Raw genomic sequence first — 25,841 nt, forward strand, 5'->3', positions numbered from 1 at the left:
TAGTAAAATAATTTGGGGGAGAAATTATCTTTAAAGCGTTTTTTATTAAAGAAACGCTCACTTTATAGGAATATAAAGATTTAGTGCTGACTCACAAAGACAAAAGGAATAGCTTTAAATGCAGCTCAAAAGCAAACAGACATCTATTACGAGCCAGGGCAACTCATAATGGGCACCACCAATCCACATCAACTGGTAGCTCAGGACCAAGATTAGTATTCACTCATTCAACAAATATTTATTAGGCCTCAATATTGCTAGACACTATTTTACTCACTAAGATACAATGTTGAATCACAAGGTCTCTGACTTGTAGCAGCTTGCATTCTATTGGGAGGATAGACATAAAATAAGTCAATACATAATTTCAAATAGTGAGAAGGGTTATAAAGAATAAAGTCCTTCTCCAGCTCTCCTTCCCTTACCTTCTTATGTCTCTCTCAGCAGTGTATTATGCTACTTGACTCATCCTCTCTTGCAGCTTCCTTTCATGGGAAGAAAGGCACAGGGAGGTAAAGGCTATGCCAACAATATGAAGAGTCTCTGAGGTAGGTGGGTAATTTCAAGATCTGTAAAAGGTCGAGGGGTCACTACTGTTTCGTGGATGTCAGTGGAAAACACAAGACACCCTGATTAGAGACAAAGGAAGATGTTAAAGAGACAGGAAGATGTTGAGCCTGATGTCGGTGCTAGTTTCTCATGTCCCCCAGATCCCACAGGGTCTGAGGGAAAGGGTCCAGGTGGATGCAACATACACAGTGGATTTGTCACAGCAAAGGAATATTGAGCTTGAGGAATTTACTGCTTTACAGTGTGTGGTAAGTCAGTCTGCTCATTGTTTGGGAGAAGACATTACTCTGTTGCTCAAGGCTGCTCCCTGCAAACACAACCCTGAGAGGACACAAGTAAATAATGGTCAGGGCCTTGCATTCTTAGCATACCCAGAAAGAATGTGTAAGGATGCTCAGGGCTTTGACAGACTGATTCTCACAATAGGTTGAGTGGAGAAAAGGATTAAACCCGCATTCATTTATAGTTTTATGCAACCACAATTATAAAATTTTCTCAAGTTTTTAGGCTTTAGAACTTTGTCCTACTCCTTTCCAATTTGTCCCCCTTAGATATGATCTATTTAGGCCTTTGAGGAGCTCAGACAGACTTAGAGTATCAGTTGACAGAAAAGATAGATTTTCCTATTGTTAGCAAATATAAGCTGAGGCTCTTGTGCACATACAGACTTATCACCAGAAGCATGGGGCTAGACCTCATGCCTTCCAGAAACCTCACCCCAAGCACTCCTTCGAGACCTTTCCTATTCAAAATTACATTGAGTGCTCACTTTAACTTAATCTTCACTGCAAAAATGTATATCAGTGGGTAGGAAAAATGACAGATATCTATGATATGCTCCCAACCTGGAGCATTCCTTGGGTGGCCGTTGTTCTTGCATCCTGGTAGAAGGGGTTCTTCCTGGATTATGCTCACAGTACACTTTCATTGAGCTCTCAAGCCATAGATCGATGACAAGGGAGAAAATGGTGAACTTGCTCCATGAGAAATCAATGCTCTCCAATTATCCACATGGACTTCCTTCTCCATGTCCCATAGCAGCTGTTTCCAATGTTCTCTCCCCTACTCACCTCTCAATTGCACCCATCTTTCCCTTTCCCAGAGTAAATGGAAGTATCTGGTGAATGCTCTCCCAATATGTCACTACCTGTGGCAATCATACAGCAAGGCTGAAAGATCACTGTTACTACCCCAATATAATATGTTGGAAAATGGAGGCTTAGAGATATTATGTAACTTTCCCAAAGTCACAAAAGCTTTATGTACTGGAGAAGCAATCAAATTTGAACCTTTATGATATGGGTTCTGCCCTCATGTACCTTCCCTTCCCTCTATTTTCAGTGTTCCTACAAAAAGCTCTAGCCTCCTGAGCCCCAGAAACATGTACACTATAGAGAATGTTTGCTTTCACTTTTGCTAGAAAATTTTCTCATAGCATAAGGATTAAATCTGTAGCAATTTGTTTCCCTAATGACAGAGATAATTGCTCTGATCCAAAGGGAGGATAAAATTTCTCATATCTTTCCCAAATGAAAAGATTGTATCCCAGGATAGGCACCTAGGTTTGTTCTGAAGGTCCTGGGGAAACCAGAATGTCTGTCTGTCTGTCTATCTATCTATCTATCTATCTATCTATCTATCTATCTATCTATCATCTATCTATCTTTCTATCTGTCATCTATGTCATCTCATCTATTTATCCATCCTATGTATTTATCATCTAATTTATCTGTATATCTCTATCATCAATTTATCAATTATCTATCAATCTATTTTCCAGCTTTATTGAGGTATTATTGGTAAATAAAAATTGTATATATTTATGGTGTACAACATGAAGTTCTGATACATGTATCCATTATAAAGTGATTACCACAAGTAAGCTTATTAACGTATCCATCACCTCACATAATTACCATTATTTTGTGGATGATGAGAACGCTTAAGATCTATCCTCTTAGCAAATTTTCAGTACACAATACAGTATCATTAACCATAGTCACCATGCTGTTTGTTAGCTCTCCAGAATTTATTCATCTAATAATTGAAGGTTTATACCCTTAGACCAAAATCCCCCCATTTCCTCCACTTCCCAGCCTCTGGCAACCACCATACAACTTTCTATTTCTATGAATTTGACTTCTTTAGATTCCACATACCAGTATAAGTGAGATCATGAGGTATTTGTCTTCCTGAGTCTGGCTTATGTCACTTAACATAATGTTCCTCAGGTTCATCTAAGTTGTTGTACATGATAGGATTTCCTTCCTTTTTAAAAGCTGAATAGTATTCCATTGTTTATATATACCACATTTTCTTTATTCATTTGTCTGTTGATGGACACTTAGGTTTATTCCATATCTTGGCTATTGTGAATAATTCTGCAATGAAAATGGGAGTGCAGCTATCTAATGAGATAACACCTCACATCTCTTGGAATGGCTATTGTCAGCTTTTGGAGACCTAAAGACTCATATGTTAGTAACAATAGGAAAACATACAGCTTTTTCATAAGTGATAGTAAAATCTTATTTCAGTAAAGTAAATAAGTGATCAAGATCATCCAAATTAATTTTCTGAAAAAGAGAAGTTGCTTTGGATATATACACAGGAGTGGGATTGCTGGATAATGTGGTAGTTCTATTTTTAAGTTTTTAAGAACTTCATACTGTTTTCCACAATGGCCTACCAGTCTATAATCCTATAAATAGTGCACAAGGGTTCCTTTTCTCCATTTCTTGGTCAACTCTTATTATTATTTGACATGTTTCTAGTAGCCATCCTAACAGGTATGAGGTAATATCTCATTGTGGCTTTCATTTACATTTGCCTGATGATTAGAAAACCTTTTTTTTTTTTTTTATATGGAGTCTTGCTCTGTCACCCAAGCTGGAGTGCAGTGGTGCAACCTCTGCTCACTGCAACTTCTGCTTCCTGGTTTCAAGCGATTCTCCTGCCTCAGCCTCCACAGTAGGTGGGATTATAGGCACCTCCCACTACACATGGCTAATTTTTGTATTTTTAATAGAGAACGGATTTCACCAGTGATCTGCCCGCCTCAGCCTCTCAAAGTGCTGGAAGTACAGGCAGAAGCCACAGTGCCCGACCTAGAGCACCTTTTAATATTAGCTGTGGGCCATTTGTATGTCTTCTTTGAAAAAATGTTTATCCAGGTGACTTGTTCATTTTAAGATTGGGCTATTTATTTATTTACTATTGAATTATGTGGGTTCATTATATATTTTGGATATTAGTCCCTTAACAAATATGTGGTTTGCAAATATTAGGTTGGTGCAAAAGTAATTGCGGTTTTTTTGCCATTACCTTTAAAAAATCACAGTTGCCATTACCTGCAAAAACCGCAAATACTTTTGCACCTACCTAGTATTTTCTATCAGCTGGGTGGTTGCCTTCTGTATTTGTTTGCTAGGGATGGCATAACAAAATACTAAGGACTGGCTAACTTAGACAACAGAAATTTATTTTCTCAGTCTGGAGGCTAGAAGTCCAAGATCAAAGTGTCAGCGGGTTTGGTTTCTCCTGAGGCCTCTCTCCTTGGCTTGCAGATGGCTGCCATCCCAATCTGTCCTCACATGGTCTTTTCTCTGTGTGCATGTATCCCTGGTCTCTCTCTCTTCTTATAAGGACACCAGTCAGATTGGATTAGGGCCTTACTAACAGCTTCATTTTAACTTAATCGTCTTTTTAACTTAATCTCCTCTTTAAAGACCTTATCTCTAAATACTATTACACTCTGAGGTACTGGGGGTTGGGACTTCAACACGTGTATTTTAAAGAGAAACATTCAGCCTATACCACTTTCCTTCCATGGCCACGTGATTGGTATGACCAGTCCCTGCAACAATCACTTTGCCCCTTTTCCCCCAAATCCTAACCATTGCTAACCCACACCATCTGTTTGGATTCATCTCTCAGTGACTCAGTGGTTTTGTCCTCATATAGCTTTACCATCCTAGAACATATCCCACATCCGAAGTGACCACTTTAGAGTTGTCATCTCATACTCAAGATCATTATCTCCTTCTCTCTGGTTCAAATATATATTATTACAGCACCTAAAATACTTACTAATTCCTGCTCATCAGGTCCAATCAGCATAATGTTGTCAATGTAGTGGACCAGTGTGATATTTGATGGTATGTCAAGACAATCAATATCTCTGTGGACTATATTAAGGTGAATTGACATACCCCCAAGACAATACTGTGAAGGTATCCTGTTGGCCCTAACATGAGAAAGCCAACTGCTTCTGGTGGTTTTACAAACAGATATAGAGAAAACAGCATTAGCCACATCAGTAGCTATATACCAAGTGCCAAGTGCTATGTTGATTTGTTTCAGTAAAAATAATACATTTGAGACAGCAGCAGCAATTGGAATCACTTCCTGATTAAGTTTATGAGTCCACAGTTATTCTACTAGATGTATCCTGTACTGGTGAATTAAATGAGAGTAAGTATCACCACTCCTACTCCTTTTAAGACTTTTATGATAGCACTGATTCCTGCAATTCCTGCCAGCCATGCAGTGTTGTGTTTAGTGAGCTAAGTGGAAGCTCTAAGAGCTCCTGGAGCTTCCATTTAGCTCTCCCTAATAATAGCCCTCATTCTATGGCTAAATCCCAATGTGGGGATCCTGTCAGTTGCTAAGTATGTCTGTTACAATTATTAGATTGGTGCAAAAGTAATTGCTGTTTTTGCCATTAAAATTATGCTGTTAATACATATTCCAATTACACTGGGAAAGTAGCCACATAGTTGGTATGTGGACTAACAGTGGTGATTTCTGTCCCCAGGAATTAGCATCAACTCAGAGCCAGTGTTTAGTAAACCTCAAATGATCTGTGTATTTCCTTTTCGCCAATGCAGTTTCACTAGTAAATGGCCACATGTCGTTTTGGGGAAAGCTTGAAAGAATTTGCCATGTGTACTGTAGCCAAGGTGCAAGATCCTTCTTAAAGGGAACACAGATTCTCTTTCAACCAAGGGACTATGGGTCTGTGAATTGACTTAGGTCTGAGAACTGAGAGACTGTGACTATCCACTGTGGTGACTCAAGTCAGGTTTTGGCTACCTGACTTAGATCTTTTTACCTGTTATAAATATCAAGCAATAATCTATTTCAACTGCCTATCTATTTTGTTCTCAGAGCAGCTCCGTAAGCCAAGGCAGTCTGATTTCCTGCTGCCCTTTAAGGTACATGTGCGCCCACCTTGTCTTTGTTGGTTATGTGCTGCCTGGTTTCTGCTATTCTGAGATCGTGTCATCCCCATTGAAATCAGGGAGCCCATCTAGATAGTGGCATCCTCTATAGTCAAGGTTTTCAAGCAAGGCTAGTCTCTTTAGACACTGGAGGGCAACCTACTTCCACTGATAAGAGAAAGAGTTGGCGTGTTTAAGATTGTCGGTTTCATCTGGGTCCAACCCATTTCAAGTATTGAGATTCTATTATTAAAAAATAACACCATTTTACACGAAAAACTCAGAATATGTGTGAATTTAATAGCAGTTATAATTCAGTAACATGAAAATTAAAATTTTGTTTGATTCTCAGCATAATTCTTGTTGCTACAATAAACCAGAGCTTTTGGAATTCTGCAGAATATCTCTGGTTCTCATACCATAACTCTGAGAGTTAAAAAACCTGTGCTTGTCATTTCTCTTTATAACCACTCAAAAGCACGCAAAAGAATCCATCCCACACCAGTCTTTCTAGTCATCTTTATAACCATAGCAGTCAAGTGTAGCAGCCACTTGGGGCCCCAAGGCACAGGCTTCAGTTGGCACTTCATCAGGATCAACCACAGGTAATTGCTTAATTGAGATGCCCAGCATGTCATGAATTACATTTCCCTTTGGCAAGGAGCTAAAGCTCAAAACCTCAATCAAACTGACCTTTAATCCCATCTTTGCAGGTCTATTTCTTGGGACTACTCCCGGGACAGGGAAGGCTTAATAAAAAGAATTGTTAACTATAATAGAGGATTAGAGTAATGAAGGATTCACTAGCAAGAAGAGAACTTTAAAGAATATAGCAACAGCAGCTATAAGGAGCTAACCTTATAACTAACTCTTGGGTTGAGAGACAGAGTGCCCAATGAAGAACCTCCCCAATTCCTCCCAGGGCTAAGATCTAGACGTTTTTGGAGAGGGCATGACCTGGCTCACTGAATGGCAGAGAAGTCACCATTGGGCTACGTCTGCAAAGCTTGTGGAAGATGTGCCCTCTGCAACTTGCTGCAAATGCCTCTAGGGTGCCAGGGAAGTTATTCATGGGGTAGTGTCTCACCTCCTCTACAAAGCTCCTAGAGTTGGGCATGTGAGAGGAAATTGCTAGTTACTGAGCACTATAGGACCTTGGCAGTGGAGAAAGCCAGGTATGCTGCAAAAGCTTATCAATACACAGAAATCAGGAAGCAAAATCCTTTTTTTCTGTAATGTCTCTTCAGCGCCCTCTGCTGATAAAGCTTCAGTCCCAGAAGGCAAACGAAAAACTGTTTAAAAGGCTCAGATCCGTTTTTACAGTGCAGTCAAAAAGGGCGAATTTGGAGCTGAGAGGCAATAAATCAATAACTGGCAGAAGCATCACTTCTCAGATTACACTCATGGATTTCGTAGTCAGATGTTTCTACATGTGCCTGGACGGCCCTTTGTCAGTCTCCTTTCCCCCAGGTTTTAACAGGCTGTCACCAAAGGAGGAAATAGTGAGCCCGAAGAGAATGTGCAAGCCCTCTTCTCTTGCATTTCCTCCAGCCCGTCACCAAGTACTCTTCCAGGCACGCCAGGCCCGAGTGTCCTAGGATAGGAAACCTGAGCAACAAAGGGAAGTGGGGTGTAAGCTCAACCCCTGTTGGACGTGGGGGTGCTGGCGCCTGAACGCCCCCGAAGGCCTCAACTCCCAGAAAGCTGCCTGCCAGGTCACAAGAGCCCTGTGAGGTCTTCCTATCGCCGGGACACTGGGAGGCAGGCGCGGGGCGGGTCCGCCGGGCGACGCGCTGTGATTGGGCGCCGTGGGGCCCGCCCCCTCATCTCGGAGCGTCGGGAGGGGGCGGGGCCAGCCGCCCGCTCGGCTCAGGCGCTGCGGGCGCCTATTGACCCAGCGGCTGCTGCGCCGCCGCTGTCTCCTCCTGCTCGTGGCGGGCGGTGCTGGAGCGCCAAGTGGCGCTGGAGAACCGGCGCTTCCTTTCGCCGCTTCCGCCGCCATCTCCGCGTTTGTGGGGCGGGAAAGAGGGAGGGGGCTAGCGGCTGCAGCTGGAGCGGGCTTCTCTCCGGGGACGGTCCTTTCCTCCCTGCTCTCCTTTTCCTTCTTTCCGCGTTGCCGCCGCCCGCCCCCTGCGCCTCCCCGCGGAGCCTGGGTCCGGGAGGGGGAAGGTAGGGGCGGCGGGGGGCGGGAGAGTCTGGCGAGCGGACGCTAGCTCTGAGGAAACTCATCAATCCGTGAGCCCCGGAGTCCGGGGTGCACATCGGCCCAGCCGCAGCGTCGGCGGCGGCGGCGGCAGCAGCACGAAGGGGCTCAGTCGGGGTAGGCGGGGGCGGTGCCGGTGCCGCGGGGGCGGGCCCGACCGTCCCGCCCAGAAGTTGTAGGGCTTGGCTCCTCGCGATCTTGTTCCTTTCCCCTCCGCTTCTCTGACCTAGCTGCGCGGCCCCGGCCCGGGAGCTGCCGAACCCGCGCCTCCCCTGGGTGAGGAGGACACGCCTGCCCTCGTCGAGAAAACTTTTCCTGCCGACTCAGTTGGGGCGGCGGTGGCAGGAAGTGCGGGCAGCGACCTCTCCTCCGCCTGCCCCGCGCGCCCTGCCGGAGGTCGGCGCTGAGCTTGCGATCAAGTTTGTGGGGGCCCCCCTTCCCAGTTGCCGGCGAGTCTCGCCTCGAGAGGGGCGCCCGACCCCGGGGAGGGCGGCAGGCCAGGGCGAAGGCCAAGGGCGTGTGGTGGCGCCGGAGACTAGGTGCGGAGCAAGGCGGGGACTCGCACCCGCATCCGAGAGCGCGGAGGTCGCGCAGCCCGGGAGAAGGGAGCCTCCGGCGGCTGCTTCCTAGAGTCCACAGTGCGCTGTCTCCTTTGGCTGAGGAGAGTGTCCTGGCCCCGAGTCTATCGAGGAAAATGAAGTTAAGCCGCCAGTTCACCGTGTTCGGCAGTGCGATCTTCTGTGTGGTGATTTTCTCGCTCTACCTGATGCTGGACCGGGGTCACTTAGACTACCCCAGGAACCCGCGCCGCGAGGGCTCCTTCCCTCAGGTAAGCACCTGGGAAGGGGGCGCGGGGCTCCGAGGGGCCAGGCGTGCGGGCCCCTGGTTAGCGGCTGCTACCCAACCTCTTCCTCCCGCCGCGGCCCCACACCCGTGCTGGGCGAGGCCAGGGGCTCTGTAGCTCTCGGACGGCAATGATCACCTCCTGGGAGCCACCTCGCCCGGGCGCGCCAAGTTAACAAAGTGCTGGGCGGCGTGCGGCGGCGGCGGCGGCATCATCCCGCTCAGGAAAGTGGCCATGTTCCGGCATTCGCACCCGGCCTGTTGGGGTGGCTTCGGGCACCTGCTGGCGGGGGAACGGGCGCGGCGTGAGGCACCCCCCGCCAGCCCGGGGCCCGCGTATCCCGGTGGGGTCGTTCTCGGCTCTCACAGGGTTAAGCCGCCCGCACCAGCCCAGAGCCCCTGAGCGCACGGAGTCGCGGAAATGGATCAAACCGAACCCACCTAGGCTTTTTTTTCTTTTTCTTCCCCGCTGCCTCTGAAGAGAGAGAAGTTTATTTCGTGTTGCGGCCCTTTTAGATGTGAATCTCTAGGTTGATTTTAGTGTCGTCATTCTTCAGCTATTACATCTGGTTTGTTTGTGGCAGACAGGGGGAACCGAGTGGGGAAGCGCGTGTTATACTCCGGCCGAAAGCTGTGGGGCGCTCAGTCCTGCGTCCAGTGGTTAAATTGGTAAATGAGTTGGGAAGACGACCCATCCAAAGTCTTATTTAAAGTTACCAAAAATAAGCAAAGCGGACACAGTCTGTTCCCTTTGGAAGGGTATCCACCGCGCGGCATGTGCGAGTTCAGTTTCAAGTTACTTGCCAATATAACCCGTGCACTTCAGAAATTGCGGTGAAACTGGGTATTGTGTAGTGTGTAGTGTGCTCTGTAACGAATGAACCTGAAGAACTCAAACCCTGACAGGGCAATCTAACTATTCCTACTTGACTTACGAGAAAGAGAAGCCTAGACGTGAAGTTGATATATATTTTTTTCTCTTTTGTGATAACTTAAATGACCAAAGAATATCCTTGCCATTTTTTTTGTGTTATGCTAGAGCAAATGGCTTGAATTTAATTGAGATTAAAGTAAAAACTTTACTGGAATTATTGTGAAAGTGAAAAAAGACCCTTTTATGGATGCTGTCATCAATACAGAGCACTCAACATGTTTTGTCGGTGAGAGGTTTTAAAAATCTTGCTGCAGAGAGATGTATCAAAATTTTAAAAGCCTCTGCTTCCCCTAGGTAGTATGACAGAGAAAATAGAAACAAGCACTGAGGGCATCTTTAAATCTTGAGCTCAGAGCTTGTCCAGTGCTTCTTGATGAGGTTGAAGAAAACAGTTGGAAAAAGGTAAGGAGTTTTAAGCTTAGCTTGATATGTTGTGTAATTTTGGGGTTGAAATTACTGTAATTTTTTTCCCTCCAGTAACCTCATTTTCAGATTTTCCTCCATTACAGGAAAATCATAAAAAGTGATATTTTTACTTAAAGTGTTTTCTAAAATAATGTCCTTTGGCTTTGGCTTGATGATCACTTGAAAATGGTTTATGCAAACATCTGGACCTGGGTTTTCTGGCAACCTTGACATTTTCTCTGTTCAGAATCTAAAGACATGAGTGACTCATTCAGTTACTGAGAAATCTTAGGCAAAGCTAATTCCAGTATTGTAATATCTATCCTTAGTCCTCAATGAGAGGCTGAAGTTCTGCTTTAAGCGTAAAGCATTTGATGAAAGGTCAAAGTGGCTGCTGGAGGGGAAGGCTGTTGGTACTCAACTGGGAGGTGGAACATTTTGCATTTAAGATTGCCTTTCTCAGATTTTCTGTACTGGATTTTCACTGCAGAAAGAAGGTATTCTTTAAGTGCTTGGACGGCCACTGAATCCTCAAGCAGATAGACATTCTAAGACCCCTCTGTAAGCTTAACCGTTATGTGTGTGACATTAGCCTTCGTATCTTACAGGGTAAAACTTAAGTGGCGAGGGGACTGAGGCACTGAGGCACGGAGAGATTAATTAGCTTGCCCAAGATCACACAGCTGCAAGCTGAGATTTGAACAGGTAGCCTTTGTAGCCCAGGCTCCCAGCCACTGAGTTGTCTTGCCTCTTAGGAATCTGTTGCCTACTGTTTAGGCTGCCATTTGCTTATGGAAAGATCTGATGTAAAATATAGAGCAGTGATCCTCAACCTTTTTGGTACCAGGGACTGGTTTCCTGGAAGACAGTTTTTCCACAGACAGGGGTGGGGATGGGGGGAGTCGGGGGTTTCGGGGGATGGTTTGGGGATGAAGCTGTTCCACCTCAGATCATCAGGCGTTAGATTCTCATAAGGACCATGCAGCCTAGATCCCTGGCATGCGCAGTTCACAATAAGGTTCGTGCTCCTATGAGAATCTAATGCTGCTGCTGATCTGACAGGAGGTGGAGCTCAGGCGGTAATGCTTGCTGACCTGCTATGCCACTCACCTCCTGCTGTGTGGCCTGGTTCCTAACAGGTCCATGGCCCTGGGGTTGGTTGCCCCCTGTATAGAGCATGTTGCTCTCTGGTACCTTAGCTTATGACTAAAGGAACTTTTATTTTGAAGCCATAATGAATATGGTCCTTTTTCTGAAACATTTACTGCTAGAGATTTATACCCTTCCCAGAATGTCTTTGAGCTCATTTCAGAGCTAAACATTATAATGAAAACCATTGTGTAGTCCAGCATCCAGAACTTGAGTTGATTCTTTTTTTTTTCACTGCTTCTAACTTATTCTTAATAATACCAAACATAGCAAAAGGAGGTTGCAATACATTTGTTTGGCAAGTTTGGGTATTGAATTCTTGAGTTTTAGTAGAGCCAAGCAGGTCGGTCACTATGTGTCATTTTTTGGTATCTAGTAGAACGGTTTATTTAGATAGGTATTGGGTTCCTCTAAATTGCCCATTTAGTTGGTTTCAGTTGATACGGAACCTTCACTAGGCTTTAGGTCTATCTTGTAAACAAGATATTTTTAAAGACCATCCTAGATTGAGAGCAATCTATTTGTTGTTTTTTTGGAGAGCGGGGGTTTGTTCTTTTTCTCTTCTCTCACAACTCTGGTGTTTTCCACCATTTGGCTGGACTCTGGGGCAAGAGTGGGCTGGCCGAGGGTGCTCCAGTTTCTCTCACCCCGGAACAGCTGCCTGCCTCTAAGATATTCTTTGGAAGTCTATCCTGAAGCACTCCGAAGCCTTGCTTCTGCTTCTGGGAGGAATTCCTTGGAGGACTAGAGGCAACAGGGGGCCTAATCTGTTGAAACTTGTGTGTATATTTCAGGGTTAATAAATCTCAGCTAAGAAAATTAATAAAAATTCCACTGTGAATGAGAGGTTGGTCAGAGACTAATGTCTTGAAAATGCTTTATGATAACTTGGAAGAATTTGAGCAGATGGAAAGGAGAAACTTTGTTAAGGTCTCCCTGAAATTAGTCATCACTTCTTACAAGCAGATTTCACAAGGTGCTTACTATCTATGGTGTGTATAATAGGGTTGTCTTATTAATTAGTCTGATGTTTGGATCTGGAGAAGTAAATTAATGAGTCAGGTTTTGTATAACAAATGATCACTTTTTAAGTAATTAGTGTAGCATATGACCGTAGAGATTAATATTAACTCTTAAAATATGGAAATTGAGACTCCGATGGAAAATGTGAAAGTGAAGTTAAAACTTTATCTTTTTGCCTATGTAACATTTATCAAGTGAGAAAGTGAGAATGCCTTTAAATAAGCATTTGATTGAAAGCCATTAGAAGGTGAGAACTTGTATACCTTTTTTTTTTTTTCTTTGGGATAGGGTTTTGCTCTGTCATCCAGGCTGGAGTGCAGTGATGGAATCACAGCTTACTGCAGTGGCCTTGAATTCTTGGGCCCAAGCCATTCTCCCACCTCAGCCTTCTGAGTAGCTGGGACTACAGGTGTGTATGCCACTGTGCCCAGCCAGTTTTAAAATTTTTATTTTGTGGAGACGGGGTCTTACTATGTTGACCAACTGGTTTCAAATTCTTGGCCTTAAGCTATTCTCCTGCCTCAGCCTTCCAAAGTGCTGGGATTATAGGTGTGATTCACTGCTCCCAGTTGCCTTTTGTGTTTTTTTTTTTTAACTTACTGTAATACACATACAGAAATGTGCTTACATACTTTACATCAGTAGTACTTAAGAGTCCAGCATAGTAGATGTTATTAATGAAAGTTGACTCATGGCAATACATATAACTAGGACTTTGATTCCCCAGTTTTTTTCTTGCTTTCATAAATCTGTAAATCTTACTTAAGAATGACATATAAGGAAAATATGATCTCCTTCCCCTTCCTTGAGTGCAGTCTATTTATAAACAATAGCACTTGGTGCTGGGGTTTGTTCACGTTTGTATGAGGGAGATTGTCTTATTTTCTGGGATATAATGCGGAGATCTGTGCTTTTTGGGAAGTGATGGAACGTTGATAGTGCATCCAGCATTTAGGAATGCAAGAACAAACATTAGAGCCTTTTGAGGATGGTGTCCTCTAACTCCTCTTCAGTCCAACAGCCCTGTGGGTCTCTTCCTGATCAGCATTTTTCACTAAGACCCAAACTTATTTCCTGTAAACCAACTGGGCCAGATACTCATGACTGTCTGTGGTCTGAAGATAGTAGTTTATGTTTTGTTTTTTGTTTTTTTTAAATTGAATTGGGTGTGTTGTTCCCAGATGAACACTGTTATCAGGGCCTAAACAAATATTTTTGTCAGGGAGATGTCACAATTGTATTATTGGAAGGGGATTTTCTCTCTTAGCTTTTAATTTGCATTAAGAGGTGTCTGGGCTGTGGGCAAAATAGTGGCTAAAATGACCACTTTTATTTGTTTTTGAGTCAGCTATTGCTTTTTGTGATAACTGAAAACTTTAGTCTTTTTTGAAGGACTGAAGTGTTGAGAGTTTCCTGGAATGAGTGGTTCACTAGCTGTTGCTGATCACCTGGTTTATTCTTAGCTTTTTTTGCATTCAGGAGTCTTAGTTTTCCCTTGTTCTCCAACTTCTGTAATCTTTAAGAAAATGAAAGGATATTTAGCAGCTCTGATGACCTGTATTTGCTGGATTGTAAAGGCCTTATTGCATTTTTTATCCCTTCTGTCTTGGTAAAAGTTCCTGATAGCAGCAGCTTTTATAAAAGTTTGAGCAGAACTAAGGCAAGGAGGAAGAACTCTAAAATAGTGATTTTTGCTTCTCAGTTGTTATTAGTAGGTTAATCAGGAGAGGAAGTAGGACATTTTAACTAAAATGGGTTTCTGTTTCAGTTATCAAGCCAAGCTGCTATTTTTAAGTTTGAAACCATTTTTAAATTCAGACAGGTTTGAGGATTAATTGTACTGAAATGGAGCTCACATCTAGTGCTTTAGTGAGTATAGCTAAATGTGCCTATAATAGGGAGGAAGTAAATCATTTGGTTTGATGAACTCTGTCACTTGAGGTCATATCATAGCTTTTCTGAAAGAGTGCCCTGTTTAAGGTAATTATATTTTATGCAGACAGGTGGATAGTAGGTATCTAGTATATATCTTTTTTTTTTTTGAGACGGAGTCTCACTATGTTGGCAGACTGGAGTGCAGTGGTGCAATCTCAGCTCACTGCAATCTCCACCTCCCGGGTTCAAGCGATTCTCCTGCCTCAGCCTCCCGAGTAGCTGGGATTACAGGCACAAGCCACCATGCCCAGCTAATTTTTGTATTTTTAGTAGAGACGGGGTTTCACCATGTTGGCCAGGATGGTCTCGATCTCCTGATCTCGTGATCTGCCCGCCTTGACCTCCCAACATGTTGGGATTACAGGCGTGAGCCTCTGCGCCTGGTTGGTATCTCTTAAATATCTTAATGTTAAATTTCTAAATCTAACATACTGTTTTCTAAAGAAGAGAAAGTACTTTAGTTTAAAACTGGACATACTCTACCATTTGCTGCCTCTATCCAGGCTTTGTAACCTCTTTGCTGTTGACATTTTGGGCCAGAGAATTCTTTCGTGTTAAGGGCTGTCCTGTGCGTTGTAGGGTGTCTAGCAGCATCCTTGCTGTCTACCCGATATCTGCCAACATCACTGTTCTCTCTCTGTACCCCTAGTTGTAGGAACCAACAATGTCTCCAGACACTGCTCTCAATATCCTCTGGGAGTGGGAATCATCCCTGTTGAAACTGTGTTGGCTGTGGCCTCTTCTTTATACCCAGTACATGTCGTTAGCACTTCTGTGTTTTAGGAAGGATTGATCAAAAGGCCGAAGCTCAAAAAGCCAATTAGCATTTTTTGATGGGTGAACTCTATTCTTTCTCAGGATGCCTGAAATTCACTTACACATTTAGGATTCTAGATTGTAGTATGTTACAAAAAATTTCAAGGATAGATTATGTTCATAGGTAAGTTGAAGGAAAAAATGGAAGATTCTTATAATGGAACGTAAAAAAATTCTTTTCCAATTGGACGTGTGTATTCTGAGAAAAACATTAGGGTCAGGTCATTGTAAATAGATCATCTTTTACTTTCTTCCAGCTGAATTACAGGTTGGCACTTATCCAGATTTATTCCTCTTAGCATAGGAAGATAAGATATATTGATTAATAAGGTAGTATAAAAATTGTCTGCAAAAATGTTTTGAAATGTCTGCAGTTTTCTCAGGCAGACTGTTTACTTTTCAGTGTATTGTTTTTATTTCTGTTAATTTTGATGATTCTGGTTACAACATTTTAAATATCTTCTTGAGATGAGAAAAAGCAGGGAAAGAAACTGGAAAATAAGGAGAGTGGATAGAGACTTTCCTCCTGATCATTTCATTTTGTCCTCTAAATAGCATTTTTTACGAAAGTGGGGTGGAGGTGGGAGGTTAGGGAAAGAATGAAGTTCTTGACAAATAATCTTCCTTCTTTTGTCTCCAAGGCCTCTGGTTTTGAACTCTGCTGAGTCAGCTAACTATGAGTGAAATCTGTCTGCCACCTGTCTTTATAGGGCCATGTGCTAAGAATGGTTTTTACATTTTTAAGTGGTTTAATAATGTTTCATGACATAGCCATGGTCATTCATCTACCAATTGTCTCTGACCACTTTCACACAACAGTGGCATAGTTTAGTAGTTAAGACAGAAACTGGCTCACAAAACCTAAAATATTTACTCTCTGGCCCTTTTCAGAGTTTGCCAATCCCTAGTTTAAACTATATTTCTCTATTGTTAATATTGGAGGCAAATAGTATTGTTAGATCTGTTAAAGTAGATGTGAGTTAATTAAAGACAAACAAAATTCTCGTAAATTGGTTATTAGATAAGCATTGGTCAAACTTTGTGTTTTTAGAGAGTGGTTTAAAACTTGTGTTATCTACATGTTTCATAGATTTCCAGGTATCCTTGGGGAACTTTGATGCTAGAGCATCGACATGCTTGATGAGTTTGTTTCTCTTCTTTCACCTGAAGGTTTTGCACTGTAGGACTGCTCTGGGAAGGAAGGTTCTGGGCCATGAACTAGGCAAAATTGATCCATAGCTTCAAGACTGAAAACCATGACTTTATGACTTTTTGGATCTGCTGTAATTCACAGATGGGCTTAATTCTGAGCCCAGTCTGATTGCTTGGGTTAGTTAGTCCTGAGAAGGGAGAGCTCAGGTATAGGTATCTTCTTCATAAGCTGTAAATAGAAGATGGAACTCAGCCGGTCTCTGGGATCCTGAGCGTTGCTCAGCTTGGAGGCAGGGTACTTTCAGGTTGTCAGCAGAGGTACTGGCCTGCTCTTCTGCTTATCAAAGAGCAGTTCTTGCTAATTTTCATCATTTTCTTCACTTTTAAAGATTATATGTCACTTTCTTTGCTGTGTTGCTGTGACACAGGCTAACACCCCATTTGTGTCCTCACAGATTTTAGTATCATCTTTAAATTGCAGTATACTGAGTCCGAACAAAATGGGGGTAATGCGTCTCATCGAGTAGTATTAAGGTTAGTGTTAAGTAGAGTTTTTTAAGTATTTGTTTTTTTGCATTTAAAAATGTATGCATTTGTGTATTTTTCACATGTAAATGGATTTACCACTGGCCTCCTTTGCAGGTGGTGCCTTTGGAAGTCCAGAGAAATTAAATGCTTTTTCCAAGAGCAGAGAAGACTCTAAATTTGACCCTGTCCTATGTTCTTGCTGGTGCACTTCATTGGCTTCAGTGAGGAGTCCGGAGAGCTGGGACTTTACCAATGATTTTTTTTTTCTTTTAAACATGTAAAAGGTATAAATGCACATAGAAATAATTCAAATGACATAGAAAGGTACACATTGACAATAGAATCCCTCTCCCTTTTTTCCCCATCTTTAGTCCACTCTTCTCTGAGTCCCACTTCTGACCATTTCTTTATGTTCCATGTGTGGTTCCTTCTTTAAATATATGCATATACCTCTGTTTTGATTTTTGTTTCAATTTTGAGCTATTGTTTCCCTTTATAAGAGATGAAGAATTTAACTCAATACCCCCTACTCTTCCCAGTTTTTAAAAAAGTTTTGTATTCAATTTCTGTTTGATATACATTAACAGCTTTCAATGATGTAATTGCATTTGTTTTCTTGATTCATCAACTTTAGGCCTAAAGTGACTCCCCACTCTGTCAGTCAAGGAATTTGGTACTTCTCAGCCTTCTCCCACTCAATTTCTCTTCCTTCTCATTTCTCACCCTCCCTCAGCCATCAGTTTTTTTACATCAACATACCTTATATCATCTACATTTCATTCTGTGACTGAATGTGTTATGTACTCTGACTATAGGTTGGTTACAAAAATTGAAAACCAGTAAACAAGGATACGGAATTTTAGGTAGGAGGAATAAGTTCAAGAGATCTATTGTACAACATACTGATTATAATTAATAATAAAGCATGTAGTTTTGAAAATTGCAAAGAGTAGATTTTAAGTGTTCTCACCACAAAAAAGAATAAATAAGTGATGTAATGCATATGTTAATTAGCTTGATTTAGCATTCTACAATGTATGCATTTTTCAAAATGATATACTTGATAAATATATACAATTTTTATTTGTCAGTTAGAGCTCGTTTGGAGGTTCCAGCAGGGGAGTGCAGCTCCTTGTATACCCTTGACCGAAGACCCGTCCTCCATCAGGGATGGTCATCCTCTACGACTGAGCATGCAGCTTCAGGAGGGGCTCACATAGAGTGGTGAGGGAGGAAGGGGACACCCGCCTAGCCAGCCAGATCAGCCGAATCAACCCTGGCGATCAATGGGGTGACAGATTTCGCAGCCAGATCGCCCTCACATCCTATTTGTCAGTTAAAGAAATAAAAAATGTTAAAAAAAAGAAAACCAGTACATAGTGTTTTCAATTTTATGATATTAAATACCATGCAGTATATGTCAGGTAGTTTGGCTTCATAAGAAGGAGGGATAATCTTGATAATTACACCTGTGCCACTTGAAGGAAATATTCTGAGCATTAGAGCAAGTGGAGTCTCTTATATTCCAGCTGGTGAGAATCATGCTATATTTCAGTTTCCTTAACTTCTGGACCATGACTTCCTGATATGTAGTTTTTGTTTTTTCTGTCTATTTCTAATTCCTTTCCCTTTTTGTTAGCGTCAGAGGAAATAGAAGTTATTGATTCCTGTCTCTTGAATCTCATTATTTAAAAAATCATTTTACAACTCATTATGCACCAACATTTTGGTCCCTTGTGCCTACTCAGGATTGAAAGTATGAAGTTTTGCCGGTTTTTTTTTTTTTTTTTGGTCGTTCACAATTACTGTTTCCTCAAACTGCCATGCTTCTTCTAGAACTGATAGTGCTTTGTTTCCTTTGTGATGAGAAGCCTTTCCCTTCAGGGTGAGGACTTCGGGGCTGAAGATGTACTTTGCAGCAGTTCCCTTCTGTTTCTTCATACCACAGATGTAGAGGAATGTGGCATTTATGGGTCCTGGCCTTGGTGGTAACATTTTACCTGTAGAGCATCGGAACATTGAAGACTGAGAATGTGAATCATTCTTAGAATCATTTTCTACATAAAGTCCTGAATTGGTGTTTTTAGAATCCAGTGAAGCAGTCATTCTTTTAACAGTCACCAGCATTCCAGAAAAGTCATGAAAAATTCAGGCACAGAATTGTAGAGTAGGCTGGGTCCTTCCAGGTCAGGTAATTTTTAGTCTTTGATTTTTCAGATAAGGGCACCGAGTCACACATAAACTAGACCTCAGCAATTTGCCCAGTCACAGGATACCTGGGACATGCATCCTGACTTATAATTCACTGGCCTTCCACTGTACTATACCCATATCCAACATATATTTGAAAATTTACTGGGTTAGGTAATATGGAAATTGTGGTAGACATATGTTACTTGTTTTGAAAGAACTTTTTAGTTATTTAGGGAAACAAAACTGCCGTTTGTGAAACTATTAGAGCCAGTTAAGTGCTATTATTCATTAGAAGTTAAAGAGGTTAGAATGTTGCCTGGCATATAGTAAGTGCTCAGTAAATGCTAGTTGTTACCAATGGACAGAGATTTGTAGCATACCTATTATGTAGCAGGCACTGTTCTAGGTTCTGGGAATACAGGAGCTAAGACTAAAACAAGAGTCAATGATATTATTTTACATTCCTGATATAAAGACAAAGGCCTTAAAGAGAACTCAAAAACAGAAACAAGTTTTGGTGATGGCCTGGCTTAAGTTGACTAAAGGAGAGGGTAAAGAAGCTAAGCTTTCCCTATGGGACGATACTTTGAAGGGAGAAAGAAAATTGCTAGTGTAAAGTACGGTGCTTATGAAGGCTTTGAATCCTGGAGGAGATTGGCTTGATTTAGAATCTTTGGTGCCTGTGAAGAGTAGTTGGGAAAACACTGTAGGTAGTTCAGGATCAGATTGCAAATTGCCCTGAGAGTTTGTCTGAAGAGTTATGAGTTAGATGGTAGTGAATCACTCCAAGTTATTGAATATACCAGGAAGCTGCTTGAGAAAAGCAGTGTGAGAGAATTAATTTTGTAGAAAATTTCAGACCTGGAAAGGAGCTAAGAGAATATTCAATCTAGATTATTCTGGTAGCTGTGTGTAGGAAGATTCAAGTAGGAAGGCAGCTGAGAATCTGTTTGAGGTAATATAGACATAAGGCAGTAAATCCCTGTACCAGTATTGAATTGGCTAGAATCGGGAGGATGAAAAATGTGGAGACATTTTGTAAAGAGAAAGACCAAAGCTTTTTAACAGGTTTGATCAAGGGTAATGATGAGTGGCTTGAATCAGAAAATTTCTCCTACCTTTTTCCATTGGGGTGTTGGAGACTGGTTGTACTATTTGCAGAAGGAGATAGGGACAAGCTGATCTGGAAAGTCAAGTTCATTTCATTTATGATGACGTGGATGTTAGTGGAAATAATCAAGTGGGCTGGAAAGCCAGTGAGAGATCAGGGAAGGGAGATGCTGATCTGGTAGTCATCAGCATAGCCGAGAATGAATGAGCTCACTTGGGGACTGTGCTTAGTGAGGGCAGGGCCAAGTACATTTCTGATAACCAAAAGCTGCACATCTTACATTAAGAATATTTTGTAGCAGATGTTAATGAAATAAAGCAGCTTGTGTTCAAATTGTCAGAAACCAGCAGCTCATGGATCAGCTTACCTAAGAAAAGATAAGATGATCAGAAGGAAGGATTTCAAAGAAGCGTTTTAGTAGAGTTTAAAAAAGACCCTTCTCATCTTTGGCACAAATGATAAGACTAAATTATTTTTTTTCTGGGTTAAGACAGAACATAAATTGTGTGTGTGTGTGTGTGTGTGTGTGTGTGTGTGTGTCTGTGTGTGTAGGGAGGATGGGCAGCCCGGTGGTGGAGAGGGAGAGAGAGATTTATTAAGGATCAAAATGCAACACCCCAAATAGGGGGCTGAAGTTTGAAAGTTGTTCTGAAAGTCAGACAGATTTCTGAGAATACCCTCCAAACTGCCTCTTGTTGATAGTAAAGAAAAACTCCCTTCTGTTGGGCTGGTAGGTGACCCCATGAACTGGAGAAGTAAAAACTGTCTTTGACCCTGGGCTACCTCTGGAAAATTTGTAGGGTCAAATAACAACACTTGATGTATAGGATATTTCTTGCTACTTTTAGGTAGAAGATCCAACCAATAATTGTTTTAAACAAAAGAGATTTGAGAAGAACTCCAGAAATTTGTATCCTTAACTCATCTTTGATAACCAATGGTATGATATTTAGAAGTTTGCTATTAATGTATTTTTATGTATTATGTTATGTCTTACTACTGCATTTGTTGCTTCTGTGTCTCACCTTGCCCTTGTAGACCAGTTGTTACAGATGGATTTTTATAAAGAAAGGCAATAGGAAAGAATTTGTAAAACTTTAGAGTCTGTAGTGCTTGTATAAAGAGTAGTTTGGAAATTCAGAATTTATAATAATTCAGATGAGACTTGCCTAAATACCTGTCCCCTGTCAATAAGAAATAGAAGGGACTTATTCAGGAGATGATTAGTATAAATAAGGTTGAAGGGGGGTTGATTATCTACTTAATACAACCCTGCCTTCAGAGGCTTTCCAAAACTATTTCTGTATGAAAAACGATCTCAGACATGTCAGTTGCATTTATTTTAATAGGCCAACACTGTTTAGGTTGATTACTGACAATTATTTTCTTTTTGTTTTGAAATTGTTTGTCAAAATTACTTGTTTAAAATTATAAGATGTTGACAGAACTTTTGTTAGCATATCCTAACATGCAATACATGGCATTAATTCATGGTAAATGTGTTTAGGTAGTGTGAATGGATAGTGCCTAGTAACCTTGTGTACAAAGATAAGCATTTGTCAAACATGTAAGACAGATTACCAACATAGACCAGCAACCATTGCCTATATGATGTGTTAACAACATGACCCTGTTTAGCTAGCTGAGAATTGTTAAGGCCTGAAAGCATATCACATGAACCTTCATGCAAGTTCTTGGGTGGGATACACTGTTGACAGATTCTGTCAGAGTGCTAAGCATAAGAATATAAATTAAAAATAAGTTTTAGAAGTAAAGTCGGTGTGGTTTTTAAAAAAAAATCCTGCAAAGAATAGTGTTCCATAGAACAGATTGGGAAGTGCTGAATTAAAGAAAGAGTTCTGTTAGTCAACAGTTAATATGTTTAGTGCCACTTAATTGCAGTTATTAAATGGATTTGTAAGTAATAAAACTGCATTTTATTAAAATTTTATAATCTACACATTTTGCCCTAGTTATACACCCTTCTTCCACTCACTTTTAAGTGGTTATCTGTTTTGCATAGTCTCATTTTATGTAATAGCTTGATGTCTAAAATGTTGCCTCAACAGGAGGTAGTTTCTGTGCAGCCATATTGGGCTGGTGCAGATAGGGCCATATGGTTCTAATCTAAACATACATCTGGAAACTCATAGGGTGGAGCTGGTGCTGTCTCCTGGAACCTGTAGAAAACGTCAGCAACTGGAGTCCTGACCACATTTTTGGAGGAGGGTGGTGAGGGAATGAGATGCTATTATTTGAGGTCAGGGCTTGGATCCTGTGTAGTGATTCTGGCAGCTACTAAGTTGGTGGCCCAGCTGCAGTAGTCATGAGTCCCTTGAGTGCTCTGCCAGAACAAGGGATGTTGGGCTTGGAGTCCCAGCTTTTCCCTTCACAGTCATTTGGCACTCTTACCTGCATCTGAGCAGCCTCTGTTACTGTCATACCTAGGCAGGTGTGAGATTTATGAAAAATGATTTGCCTGGGCAAAGAGTATATTGCTTCTGCAATTTGGTAAGGTATTCTGTAGCTACGTATTTTTTGTGCTCACATCGTGAGGGCATTTATTTCTTTGAATGGACAAGTGGCTGCACAAAGACAAATTGCACAATTTGGAAGAAATTCAGGCATGTTAGGCTCTGAGTCTGGAAAATACCATTAAAAGGTTATTTATAACTGGCTTGTGGCTCATTGACAGACAGGTGGAGATACATACAGAATCGTGGCCACAGCCCCAGTTCACACTCTTTTTGGCCTCAGCACTACACATCTTAAGGGGTGGAGTGGGCGCTTGGAGGGTTACCTGTCATTTTATCAAGCCCAAAAGCCTTCCTGTTAAGTTCCAGAGATCTGACTAAAGGCAGGGTTTTTCTGTAGAGATTGAATAGTGGTTGACTGACCAGGGACTGCAGCAATAACGATGACACCCCTGCTGGAAATACAGACTCTCTTTTACCAAATCGCAGTTCCTATATTTAGCTTTAATGCGGCGCTTCTTAACTGGGGATGTGTGAGAATCGCCTGGTGAGCCATTTTAAATTATAAAAGGCAGATCTCTGCGCTTTTCTAGGTAATCCCATTTGTTCCCATTGCTTGAAATTCATATTTATTCTGGCCACTCAAGTTTATATATTTAGCCCTGACTTCTCTCTTGAGTTCCAGACTTGCATGTTCACTGACACCACCATTCAGCTATCTAATAGTTTCAGAATATAACATTTGCCCTTCTGTCTCCTCCCCAGTAACTGGCTTGTGGGCCTGTTCCTCTAAAATGCCACCCATAATCCTCCCCCTTGCCCTAGCAAAAAACTCAATGCCAATTTTTTTTCCTTTCCTGCCCCTCCCATTCCTAACTCATCTTTCTTGTCATTCTTTCATGTTCCTTCCCTTCCTGTCCAAGCTACCATGGCTTTTACCTGGCAAACTGCAGTCTTTTACTCCATATGCCCTACTGTGGCTCCAGAATGGCTTAAAATTTTTTAATTGATTGATTCTAAAACTCAGTCTAAGATAAAGATGTTGATGCTGCTTTTTCTGAAAATTACTTTGAACCATAAAGGGTGACTCTGTCTTTTCTTAACTCCTTTATTCAAAGTTAGGTGTAGAGCCTTGTTAGACCAAATTATGCCCCTGGAAGACAGTTTATGAGGTTGCACGGCCTCACCCTCCATTGCTTGGGCTCACAGCTCCTTAGGGTCATGGCTCTCCAGCTCTGATGATGGAGATTTGGGCAAGAATTTCTCTAAAAAGGACTAAGCATAAGAATATAAGCTTTATTTTTGTAGGGCCAACTATTTGCTAAGTATATTAGTTTCTTATTGCTGCTATCACCACAAACTTAGTGGCGTAAAACAAGAAAAATGTGTTATCATACAGATCTTTAGGTCAGAAGTCTGAAACAGGCCCTACTGGACTAAAATAAAGATGTCTGCAGAGCTGCATTCCTTCTGGAGCTCCAGGGGAGAATCTGTTTCCCTGCCTTTTCCAGCTTCTGGAGGCTGAGTGCATTCCTTGGCTCAAGGCTGCCTTCCAGCAATAGCATCATTCTGATTTCTTGTGTCCTCACATCTCCCTCTCTGGCCTGACTCTTCCATTTTCCTCTTTTCCTTATGATTACATTGGGCCTACTCAGATATTCTAGGGTTTTCTTCCCATCTGCAAAGCCTTAAAATTAATTACATCAGTGAAATTCCTTTTGTCATGTAAGGCAAGGTATTCACAGATTTCAGGGATTATTAGGACAGGGATATCTTTGACTAAACATTATTCTGCTTACTGCACCAGGCGCTATTTAAATTTACTTGCATATACTAACTAATCCTCATAACAACCCTATGAGTTAGGTATTATTCTCCCCATTTTACAGATGAGGAAACTGCAGCACAGAGAAGTTATGTAACTTTGAACTTGCCCAGAGTTACATAGCCAGTAAGTAGTGGTGCCAGAATTCAAATTTTGGTTGGCTTCAGAGTCTGTTCTTAATTATGACACATACTATCTGGAGGTGCATATTGTAGTACCCTTCAAAGTGATTTTTCAAAAGCCATACTTTTACTATGTAGCAGCAGCTGCAATAATACTTTCTTCACTGCTTACTTGTTGGCAGGTCCTGTGCTAAATTCTTTCACAGCCAGTCCAAGCAATGGATATTAGTATCTGCATTTTGCCCATAGAAACTGAGGCCCAGGATTAAGTTACTTCCCCAAGATCACATGGCCAATAAGTGCGGAAACTAGTATTGGAAGCCAGATAGCCTGAACAGGAGCCAATGCTTAGCCATTAAGCTGAATTGCTTCCACCTTTATCTGGTGAAGGATGTCATTAAAGATAAAGGTAATCTTTGCTCTTACATGGTGGGCACATTTGATGACATAATCAGAGTCCAGAAAGAACTTGATGTGTTGGAGTGATATGTTGAATCTAACACAATTAGATTTGAAGGAAAAAAAAAACATAAATGAAAGGTGGTATAGATCCTAAGTTTCAGATACATGCATACACTTTGGGGTAAAGTTTTGTTTCTTTTGAATGCTGCTATCGGTGGGTATATTATAAACATATATATCTTCTACAGCTCTTATAACTAGAAACTTGATTTGGTTGAGTGCAGATCTTATATCACTACCATGATAGGAAATAGTCCAGAATTATCTTGGGGTTCTTTTTCCAAACTTCCTTCACTCCCCACAAGAGGTGAAAATAATAGTCTCTTGAGCCAGGTTAGTGATGGTAGTGAAAATGGAAAACTTTTGATTGGACTGTACAGAATCCATAATCTTTGCTCTAGAAAGGGAGCCACATATTGTATTCTATTCACCAGGTCATGGTTGTCATCCTGTGGCCAACGTGGGTCCCATTCTATGTTATTTCCCAAACAGCCCATGAAAACCACCCTATTAATTAGCTCTTTCCTTCCCATTCTTACCTACTTTTTGGGATGCAGTGAAGACTTCTTTTGGATTTTCTTTCTTCAAAAATGGTGTGTTTTGTTTTTATTTGTATTATTTTTGGTGTGGGTTTGTATGCCAAAACATTGAATACTTAGAAAAAAATGTTACATGCCATTTTTCTTTCTTTCCTTCCTTTTTTTCTCCCAATAAATACCTAAGGTCCTGCTGTGTGCTAGGTAGGTAGGCATCAGGGTACAGTACATTGAGTAAAACAGCTATGGTGCCTGTTGTCAATATAGGGATTCATTTAGTGAGGAAAAGAGGGAAGCAATACATGAATAAAATAGATAATTGTAATAACACTGTGGAG

The 25,841-nt window shown here is 41.6% G+C and overlaps 1 protein-coding gene, 1 long non-coding RNA gene and 1 pseudogene across 5 annotated transcripts in view, besides 6 other annotated features; 1 reads left to right on the top strand and 2 right to left on the bottom strand.

Moving 5' to 3' along the window:
- Positions 1-6,072: 6,072 nt before the first annotated feature.
- MAN2A1-DT (MAN2A1 divergent transcript) lies at positions 6,073-9,371 on the bottom strand. Its single transcript, NR_186543.1, has one exon. It is a non-coding gene; the product is annotated as an MAN2A1 divergent transcript (long non-coding RNA).
- Positions 6,855-7,523: an enhancer, noted in NCBI's record as "H3K27ac hESC enhancer chr5:109024284-109024952 (GRCh37/hg19 assembly coordinates)". NCBI's record gives its function as "activates a minimal SCP1, AML or CMV promoter by ChIP-STARR-seq in naive H9 embryonic stem cells {active_cell/tissue: H9 hESC(naive)}" and the evidence as "EXISTENCE:reporter gene assay evidence [ECO:0000049][PMID:30033119]".
- Positions 7,283-7,382: an enhancer, noted in NCBI's record as "active region_22883". NCBI's record gives its function as "activates an Ori minimal core promoter by ATAC-STARR-seq in GM12878 lymphoblastoid cells {active_cell/tissue: GM12878}" and the evidence as "EXISTENCE:reporter gene assay evidence [ECO:0000049][PMID:35858748]".
- Positions 7,493-7,782: a silencer, noted in NCBI's record as "silent region_16225". NCBI's record gives its function as "represses an Ori minimal core promoter by ATAC-STARR-seq in GM12878 lymphoblastoid cells {active_cell/tissue: GM12878}" and the evidence as "EXISTENCE:reporter gene assay evidence [ECO:0000049][PMID:35858748]".
- Positions 7,793-8,312: a silencer, noted in NCBI's record as "silent region_16226". NCBI's record gives its function as "represses an Ori minimal core promoter by ATAC-STARR-seq in GM12878 lymphoblastoid cells {active_cell/tissue: GM12878}" and the evidence as "EXISTENCE:reporter gene assay evidence [ECO:0000049][PMID:35858748]".
- Positions 8,199-25,841, top strand: part of MAN2A1 (mannosidase alpha class 2A member 1) — a 179,699-nt gene continuing 162,056 nt past the window's right edge. For 3 of the 4 annotated variants that reach the window (XR_007058604.1, NM_002372.4, XM_011543395.4), the window contains exon 1: positions 8,199-8,824. Coding sequence is in view for 2 of the 4 variants with exons in the window: in NM_002372.4 (NP_002363.2) it covers positions 8,690-8,824 (135 nt within the window). In the remaining 2 variants the exon portion in view is untranslated. Of the gene's footprint in view, positions 8,825-10,153; positions 10,175-25,841 lie in introns of those variants that run through there. The other variant, XM_017009472.2, reaches the window with a different exon arrangement.
- Positions 8,343-8,552: a silencer, noted in NCBI's record as "silent region_16227". NCBI's record gives its function as "represses an Ori minimal core promoter by ATAC-STARR-seq in GM12878 lymphoblastoid cells {active_cell/tissue: GM12878}" and the evidence as "EXISTENCE:reporter gene assay evidence [ECO:0000049][PMID:35858748]".
- Positions 8,963-9,062: a silencer, noted in NCBI's record as "silent region_16228". NCBI's record gives its function as "represses an Ori minimal core promoter by ATAC-STARR-seq in GM12878 lymphoblastoid cells {active_cell/tissue: GM12878}" and the evidence as "EXISTENCE:reporter gene assay evidence [ECO:0000049][PMID:35858748]".
- On the bottom strand, positions 17,874-18,106 carry RN7SKP230 (RN7SK pseudogene 230; annotated as a pseudogene).

Source organism: Homo sapiens, chromosome 5 (assembly GCF_000001405.40).
Source record: "Homo sapiens chromosome 5, GRCh38.p14 Primary Assembly".
Taxonomy (NCBI): domain Eukaryota; kingdom Metazoa; phylum Chordata; class Mammalia; order Primates; family Hominidae; genus Homo; species Homo sapiens.